Below are 7077 nucleotides of genomic sequence, written 5' to 3'. Positions count from 1 at the left end.
AAGACAATATGAGGGGTGGTCTCCTCCCTTATTCCCCCACTTTGAGACTCTCACTCATTTTATTAGTGGGAGTTCTCACCTTCATCTTCACTACCTATGTCTTCCTGCATGACAGATCGATAGTGATTTATGTAGTACACTTGTGCTGAAGCATTCTGGTGAACTAGAGTAGTGATGAAACCTTTTACCATTTGAATGAGTACAGATAGTAAATAAGGGATCAGTAAGCAGGCTATTACTACTATAATTTTTATTATAAGAGTTTTAAATCCTCCTAGCACTGGGAACCATTTTTAAACATAGCTTCAGGGTCAAATCCGTGTCACACTTGTACAGGCACATGTGCCAGTTTCGTCATGTCTTTAACTATATCTTCGACTACTTGCCTCTGATCATCTATGTGCAGGCAGCAATTGGTAAGGTTAAATTTTCCACAGACTTCTCCTCGAACTAAGATATTTACTCGACGATCCAGTCCAGCCCTGTCGATTCCTAAGGTCACACGCTCCCCTTTTTTTCCAGCGAGGATCAAGGGGATTGGTTATTACTAGCTCTAAGGGGTTACATTGTCCCTTAGTACAGGAAGAGCCATTTTTTCCTTTCTGAAGGTGGACTGGATCCTTTTCATTTTTTATCCAAGTGGCCTAAATGACACAAGACCAGTATCCACATTCATTTTCACACAGTCCTCATTCATGACAAATGTACTTATTTTCGGTCATATAGCCTTTTTCCCAACTAAAAGAGCCACATCCCCTTCCTAACTTATTGCTATTAATGACAGCACAGGCATCAAACTTCAAGGTGACTTGTTTGGGCACCCCTTTTTCTTTTGTTTTGGCTAACACTTTACTCGTATCATTTATGAGTCCTCCCCACCAGTCCTCAGTCCTTAATCTTATTTTAAAAACTGTGGTCATGGGAGGCTCAGATGGGTCATAACACACATCAGGTTGGTCATTTCCTGGGCTACATACCTTGTATAGAATAGCATTATACAAACAAGTTCTTTTTAGAGTCCCGGTACACCTATAATAACCATAAAATAATAAGACTGTAGCAACTTTTTGTCCTACCTCAGTGACTTGATGTATACACTGGGAACAGTCCTCAGTCTGAGGAAGGTCAGTTGAAGTCCTTACTGTACAAGTCCAAATTTTAAGGAAAATGAGTCCCGTGATGAGTTTTCTCATGCTTCAGCCGTGTGTGGATTAGTCAGCTTCCGGATATGACTGGAGCAGGGCTTGTCGTCTTTTTCAGAGTCACTTTGCAGGGGTTGGCAAAGCTGCTCCTGTCAATGTACAGCTCACAGTCTACTGATGTTCAAGGATGGTCTTGGAGGTTCGGCCCACTAGAATAAACTGAGTCCAATACCTCTACACAGTTATGTTCAACTGGGCTCTCTGATACTGGGAGCAAGGTGGCAAGGTTTAGGGTGTTGTAAACTTCAATGGTTATGCGGGGATTTTCACATAGCAAGCTTTGGTACTTGGTTAATCTAGCATTTGTTAGCCAATGATGTCCTCTGGTATTCATCAAAGTTACCACAGCATGGGGGGCCTTTATATTCAGGTTTTGCCTAAGGGTTAGTTTATCTGCTTCTTGTGCTAACAGGGCCATTGCTGCCAGGGCCCTTAGACATGGGGGCCAGCCTTTGGAAACCCCGTCCAGTTGTTTTGAGAGATAGGCCACTGGCCTTGGCCATGGCCCCACAGTCTGGGTTAAAACTCCAACTGCCATTTTTTCTTTTTCTGATACATAGAGTGTAAAGGGTTTTGTCAGGTCAGGTAGCCCCAGGGCTGGGGCCGACATGAGTTTTAACTCATGAAAAGCTTGTTGCTGTTGGTTATAATATAGTTTATCCAATCTACATTTTTATTAACTGTCACCTACCAAAATATTGACTCAAATCCTGCCGCTATTTGATTCCAAGCTTTAAATTGATCTGGTATTCCCTGTGGGACTCCAATTGTGTCTAAATGGACGTGAGAGTCGGAAGACCAATAAGGGGCTTCTCTCACTTTACGATGTCTTATTTTTTTCTCCCTCTGGTTGATGAAATGCCAGGGTGAAAGGGATAGCCAAATGGACCAAAGCACAAGTGCCACTCCAGTTATTCGGCAGAGTGCTCAGTAAAGGTCCACCACAATACCACCACACATCCACTCGGGGATGAACAAGGGCTGACTGATGGATAAGCTCTTGAAAATTCTTAAGCTCATTGCATCCTTTCAGGTCTCCAAGGAATGCCAGGGAGACATGAAGTGAACTTAGTGTTGAGAGACGGAAGCTGGATAGCCCTTGGGGGCTGACCCGCAGGGTGCCGGACTTCGGGATATAGCAGAGAGAGCTTGGCATGACTTATTACTCCAGGCTGTAGAATCCTGGAAAAGAGCTACCATGCAGACCTATGCCTGGTCAACTGGAGGACCACCTTAGTGGAAGGGGGACAATCTGGGCCTCTGGCCTGCCATGTGCACAAGCATAACAATTGCTTTTGTTTAATGTGCAGATGGAATATTTGATTCATTTTAACCAGGCATTTGCATCTTGGTATCCTGTCTTAACTGCTAAAGTTTGTTTTAAGTCTTTAACTTCTATGATCCTCTAGTAAAATGAATGTATGATTTTAGGAAATTACAAAAACCAGTTAGGGCAGTCCATCCTTGCTCTTTAGTGGTCCATAGAATGTTGGACCAACTACAGCATAAAAGCTCTACATTGTGGGGCAAGACTCCTGGTTGACACTGGAATCTTTATCGAAATTTCCCCAGATTAAATGGTCCTAATTTACTAATGCCCAATCTGAGGAGAGTCAGAAGGGACAGAAGTACTTTTCTGAAGTAAAGAGCTGTCTTTGACTTGGCAAGTCCCCACAGGGTATAACAAGGCAAGCATTAAATGCAATAGTTTGAGGCAAAATTGACTTGGTAATGTTAATAACTAGACGGTTAGCAATAGAGCGAGGAAAGAAGGAAGAGTAATAGAATAGATGAAAAAGTTAAATTTTTCTTAGCTTTAGTTTGGTAAGGTTTTCCCCTGGGACTATGGCCCACGACTCTGGAGGGGGTTCTTGACTTGGGTGTGGTGAGTCCATCCCCTTTCCACTGTACAAACAACAGTCTCGGTGGTTAGCAGCACAAGGTAGGGTCCTTCCCAGGCTGGCTCGAGTTTTTCTTCTTTCCACCCTTTGATGAGAACGTGATCTTCAGGCTGGTGCTGGTTTACCGGAAATTCTAGGGGTGGTACATGTGCTAAAAGACTTTTAGTTTTTGAGGGAAAGGAAAGTGGAAGATAAACCAAGTATATAATTTTTAAGAAATTGACCTTTTGTTTTAAATGTGGGGACCTTGGCAGTGGACTTAGTCCTTAGTGCCTTTTTACTGAGAAATTTTCTTTAGCACCTATTTTTATTAGTTTTTAAACCAAAGAAAGCCAAATACCATTTTACATTTAACAATGCTTTTTCTATGATTTTTACACCAGATAAGCTAAATTTTACTTTTATATTAGTGTGTTATTAATATTAAACCTAATTTTAACAAAACCTTGTAGACATATTTATGCAATTTTTAATGTTAGACCACAAGGTAAGATTTTATAGACTCTTTTTAACTTTTTATAATTTTTGCTAAAGAGCAGGTTGGTGCTTTAAGAAAAACCTGCTATGGTTTTATTTTAATGTCCAGTTTACAGAAAAACTGGATGATACTGCTTTAACTTTAGCCAATGTTTACACACAGAATTTTCTTTCCAATTAACACTTTAAAACTTGATTAAACCTTTAAAACAAAATATACATATTTTTAGCCTTTTAATGTAGGTAAAAATTTATATTCTCATGCCTCCTTATAATTCTTTTACCACAGGTATATTTTACTTTCCTTATACACCTTGCACATAAACTGTTGTTTGTTTGTTGTTTACATTCAGGAGGCCTAGTTACTTTTAAATTATACAAAATTTCTTGCATAAATTCTTTTTTTAATAACATTTTTCTCTTTCACAACTTTTGCAGACAATTCTTTGACATGCTTCAACTTTCTGACTTATTACAAATATTTCTTTCTTTAAACAACCAGTTAATTTAATTCAGGACAAAAATTTACCATATAATACTCTTTTTACATAAATTCCGCCCCCCCCCCCCCCCCTTTTATTCCTTAGGATGCTTCTGAACTGGTGAGGTGTGCTCAGAATGAGGTTTCCTGTAAGTTTTTTTTTACTTTTTTCTGTTAGCAAAGCAGTTGCCGCTACAGATTGAATGCATTTGGGCCATCCACGGGTTACTGGGTTAAGGATTTTTGATAGGAAGGCCTCAGTGCTTTCAAGATACGCCCTTGTTTACACTGTCAACAAAGTGGTATTGGAGTGTTATAGGGTTACGGAGAATACCTTCAATTATCAATTACAGGTTTTAAATTTACCTTGGCTTTTAAAGGAATAGGGTACACTTTTCTTTTAACTACTTGTATATCTCTCTTTCTTTGATTTTCTGTCTCTTTTTCTCTTTGACTTTTCTTTTGCCTCTGTCTCTTTCTCTCTCTCTGCCTCTCTCTCTCTCTCTCTCTCTCTCTCTCTCTCTCTCTCCTGGTCTTTCCTTGCCTCTGCCAGCCACTTATGCTGCCGTTCTATCAATCACTGTCGGGGATCTAAAACCAGCTGTAACCAAGTGTCTATGTATGGGAACTGGTCTGGGTGCTTTGGCTTATAGGTTACCTTGTGCCATACCTTTGAAACAAGGGACCTGTCCAGGCTTCCTTCTGATGGCCAACCCACCTCTAATGCTGGCCAGTCTATCTTCCACAAAGTTTTAAGTTTTCCTGGTGTCATAGTACTCCATAGTCTCCCTTAAATTTCTTGAAATTTTTCAACATAGTTCCTAGTGGGGTGGGCTTACTTTGTGCCTGACCCATGCTTCTTTGAGACAAAACACCATGCTCACACCACACGCACACCACAAAACAAAGAACAGGTAAAAAGGGCACACACACACTTTTGCAGTTTACACCAAACCAAAATCAAAACCAAAATCAGAGTATCAAGAAATCCAAGCCAGGTCAAAACCAAAACCAAAGTATCAAGCAATCCAAATCAAGTCAAAAACAAAAACCAAAGTGCCGGTACAGGCACACCGTGGGTGATCAGGCCACGCTTCCACCCAAATGGAGTAGGCAAGTTCCCAAGACCAGTCCTGTCAAGCAATTCAAACCAAGTCAAAACCAAAACCAAAGTGCCGATAAAGGCACGTCGTGGGTGATCAGGCCACGCTTCCACTCAAATGGAGTGGGAAAGTTCCTAAGACCGGTCTTGTCAAGCAATTCAAACCAAGTCAAAACCAAAACCAAAACCAAACCAAAGTGCCATTAAAAGCATGCCGTCGGTGATCAGGCCACGCTTCCACTCAAATGGAGTAGGCAAGTTCCAAAGACTAGTCTTACCAAGTTTCAGATGTCCACACTCTAAGTACCAGTTCTTTCCTGGTGTTCAGCCACTGCATTGATCCTCCACAGGGGCCTGCCACACACTGCTCTGGCGAGGCATCCCGCCTGGGCAAATGCCTACCCAGGAGCGCTCTCAGAATCTGCGTCACTTGGGCTGGTCGAAGTCCCCCACAGGGATGTTCCACAGGGCAGGCTTAAGCCGCCTAAGGAGCTGTCTCGACCATCTGCCAATCACCTTGCTTCCCGATCAGGTAACCAAGAAATGTAGCAGGACAAGCTGCAGACAAAACCCCTCAGACACCGAGTTAAAGAAGGAAGCAGTTTATTCAGCCAGGAGCATTGGCAAGACTCCTGTCTCAAGAGCCGAGCTCCCCTAGTGAGCAATTCCTTTCCCTTTTAAGGGCTCACAACTCTAAGGGGGTCCACTTGAGAGGGTTGTGATCGATTGAGCAAGCAGTGGGTACGTGACTGGGGTCTGCATGCATTGGTAATTAGATCAGAACAGAACAGGACAGGGATTTTCACAGTGCTTTTCTATACAATGTCTGTAATCTATAGAAAACATAACCGATTAGGTCAGGGGTTGATCTTTAACTACCAGGCCCAGAGTGTGGTGCCAGGCTGTCTGCTTGTGGACTTCATTCCTGCCTTTTAGTTTTTACTTCTTCTTTCTTTGGAGGCAAAAATTGGGCGTAAGACAATATGAGGGGTGGTCTCCTCCCTTATTTGTACAACCTAATATTTACTCTGAACCTCATTCCATCAGAATGGAAAAAAAAAGTATTACCAGCCCTTCATCGGACACTTGGACCCCAGCATGGAGGTCATTCTCTCAGGCCAAGTGTCAGTTGAGGGTGGACTAGGGTCGGTGGGCTAGGGACGAGGGCAGTGACCACCAGATGGAGCTGTCTTAGAAGCCCCTTTGGAGACCAAGCCAAGGGAGATCAAAGGGCTGGAATTCTCCCCAGGGCTTTTCCTCAGCGAGAAGCATCACCCGTGCAAGACATTATAGCAAGGAGTTGGAAAGCTGATAATACAAAGTTTAGAGACTATCAATTATTTAAAATCTATTTTTGACTAATTTATCTTTCTAACATCTCTATAAAATGGTCATTTAGTTGCAAAGAGTATGCAACTAAAAAATGCAAGATGGGTGAAGACTTATAGCGGTTGCTGGGCAGTTATTAATATTATTTTTCTGGACTTTGTGATGTCTGTGGTTTTTGTCAGTATTTCAAAATCTACAATGATTCTTCTCATTTTAAATACTGACTTTATGACATCATTTAATTCTTTATTACATAAGTTTATTTACTCTAAATAAATATTGAATTTATTACATAATTTTAGAGCCCCACAATTGTATATGTTTCAGGCTCCACGGAGCATATATCCACTCTTTTTTTTTTTTTCTGAGACAGGGTCTCGTTCTGTCACCCAGGTTGGAGTGCAGTGGCACGATCTTGGCTCGCTGCAACCTCCACCTCCTGGTTCAAGTGATTCTCCCACCATAGCCTCCTTAGTAGCTGGGACTACAGACGCACACCACCACGCCTGGCTAATTTTTTTTTTTTTTTTTTTGGTAGAGACAGGGTTTCACCAAGTAGCCCAGGCTGGTCTTGAACTCCTGGGC

Source organism: Homo sapiens, chromosome 12 (genome assembly GCF_000001405.40).
Source record: "Homo sapiens chromosome 12, GRCh38.p14 Primary Assembly".
NCBI lineage: Eukaryota > Metazoa > Chordata > Mammalia > Primates > Hominidae > Homo > Homo sapiens.
Note: the sequence above shows the minus strand (reverse complement) of the source record.